The following is a 1,773-nucleotide window of genomic DNA, read 5'->3' on the forward strand; positions in this document are numbered from 1 at the left end:
CATGTCCAACCTCCTGTGGGGGCTGGCCCAGGGCTCCACAGCAAAACCCAGGCTGCCTCTGAGCCCTGCCAGAAGGTGGGCATCAGAGACGCTTCTGCAGAATGTGGAGAAGATGCAGGGATGGGGAGTCCCCAGGTCCCCGTGAACTGACTTCTCTCGGCTCCACACGACGCAGAGTCTCCGCTCCATGTCAGCCTCAAGGCTGAGACTGGTAAAGTATGATTTCTACCTCCTGCAGTCACAAACCCCTGTAAGAGTTTGAAGAAAGCCTCCGCGGGAAGGAGCATATTTGTCCCGACTCACAATGTTGGGACCACAGCGCCAGGGGAACCTGCGGGGCCAGTCTCCAAAGTCAGCCCAGAACCCCAGTCTGCAGTGAGTGGCTGGGACCTCGCCCCGGTAGACACACTTCTGGGTGTGTTTAAAGAACGCTGGGTGAAATTGACTCCTGTTTTTTCAGACAATCCTCTCTCCAACAGAAGATTATGGCAGTGGATGCCCTTCTGAAGAGGGAAGTGTCCAGAATGGTTGAATGGAGGGTGTCCCCATTTCCGCAGCGACTGTCCCTGCGTGAGTTCTTGAGTTGAACATGTGTCAACTGGATGTCACAAGGGTTCACTTGTCAGGGGGTTGGGGTGTCAGCAATGGGGTGTCGTTTGCCTTTAAAAAAATTTCAGGCCAGGTGGGGTGGCCCACGCCTGTAATCCCTGAACTTTGGGAGGCCAAGACGGTTGGATCCCCTGAGGTCAGGAGTCCGAGATCAGCCTGGCCAACATGGTGAAACCCCGCCTCTACTAAAGATACAAAAAAATTAGCCGGGTGTAGTGGTGGGTGCCTGTAATCCCAGCTACTCAGGAGGCCGAAGCAGGAGAATCCCTTGAACCTGGAAGGCAGAGGTTGCAATGAGCTGAGATCTCGCCATTGCACTCCAGCCTGGGCAACAGAGCAAGACTCCATCTTAAAAACAAACAAACAAACAAAAACCCCACAAATTTCAGATACCTAAGAAGCCACAGAATGTTCAGATATCGACATCATTTTCCTATCTTAGATGGGCTCAGCTCTGCCCTCTGCCCAGGGGTGAACACCAAAGAGCTAGGACTGTGTCTTCAGCATAGTCTCCTTTTACAGTTGCAGAAACTGAACCAGCCAGATTAACTGTGATTAGCCAGTCAGTGTGGTGTGGACTTGGCATTCCACCTGGAGCCTTTCTGGAGACCTACTTGGTGAGGGAGAATGACGAGGGCTGGGGGAGGGGCCCAGAGAAGGGGCCGGGGTGGGGGCCATGGCTCAACCTGGAAAGCAGGGAGAGAGGATGAGGACCTGGCTGCCACTTGGCCACAGCTCTGGGCAGGGTTAAAAACACTCCCCGACTCCCTCCACCATGCTCAGGATAGAAATGAGCAGACTTTTCTGCATCCCGATGCCCAGCCTACCTGGGCCAGGTCTTTGGGGCTCCATCCTCTCCTTAATGGCAGGGGGGTGGTGGGGAGAAGCACCACTCCATACGCATCTCAGGACCCAGCAGCTCTGCCAGGACAAGACCTTCGGAGGGTGCCTTATGAGGAGACATGGGCTGCATCCCACCAGGGGTGGGTACCACAGCTTCCAGCTGGAACCAGCCCTCAACAGGCCCATGCTTGGATGTGTGGGCAGGTTCTGTGCCGAGGAATAAAATTTCAGCTGCTAGCAACCCCAGGTCTGCACTGGACTGCCAGGGGAGGCGGAGAGGGTCTTGTGGCCTAGGCATTACTTTGTAAATACCACGGAGGA

Source organism: Homo sapiens, chromosome 22, assembly GCF_000001405.40.
Source record: "Homo sapiens chromosome 22, GRCh38.p14 Primary Assembly".
NCBI lineage: Eukaryota > Metazoa > Chordata > Mammalia > Primates > Hominidae > Homo > Homo sapiens.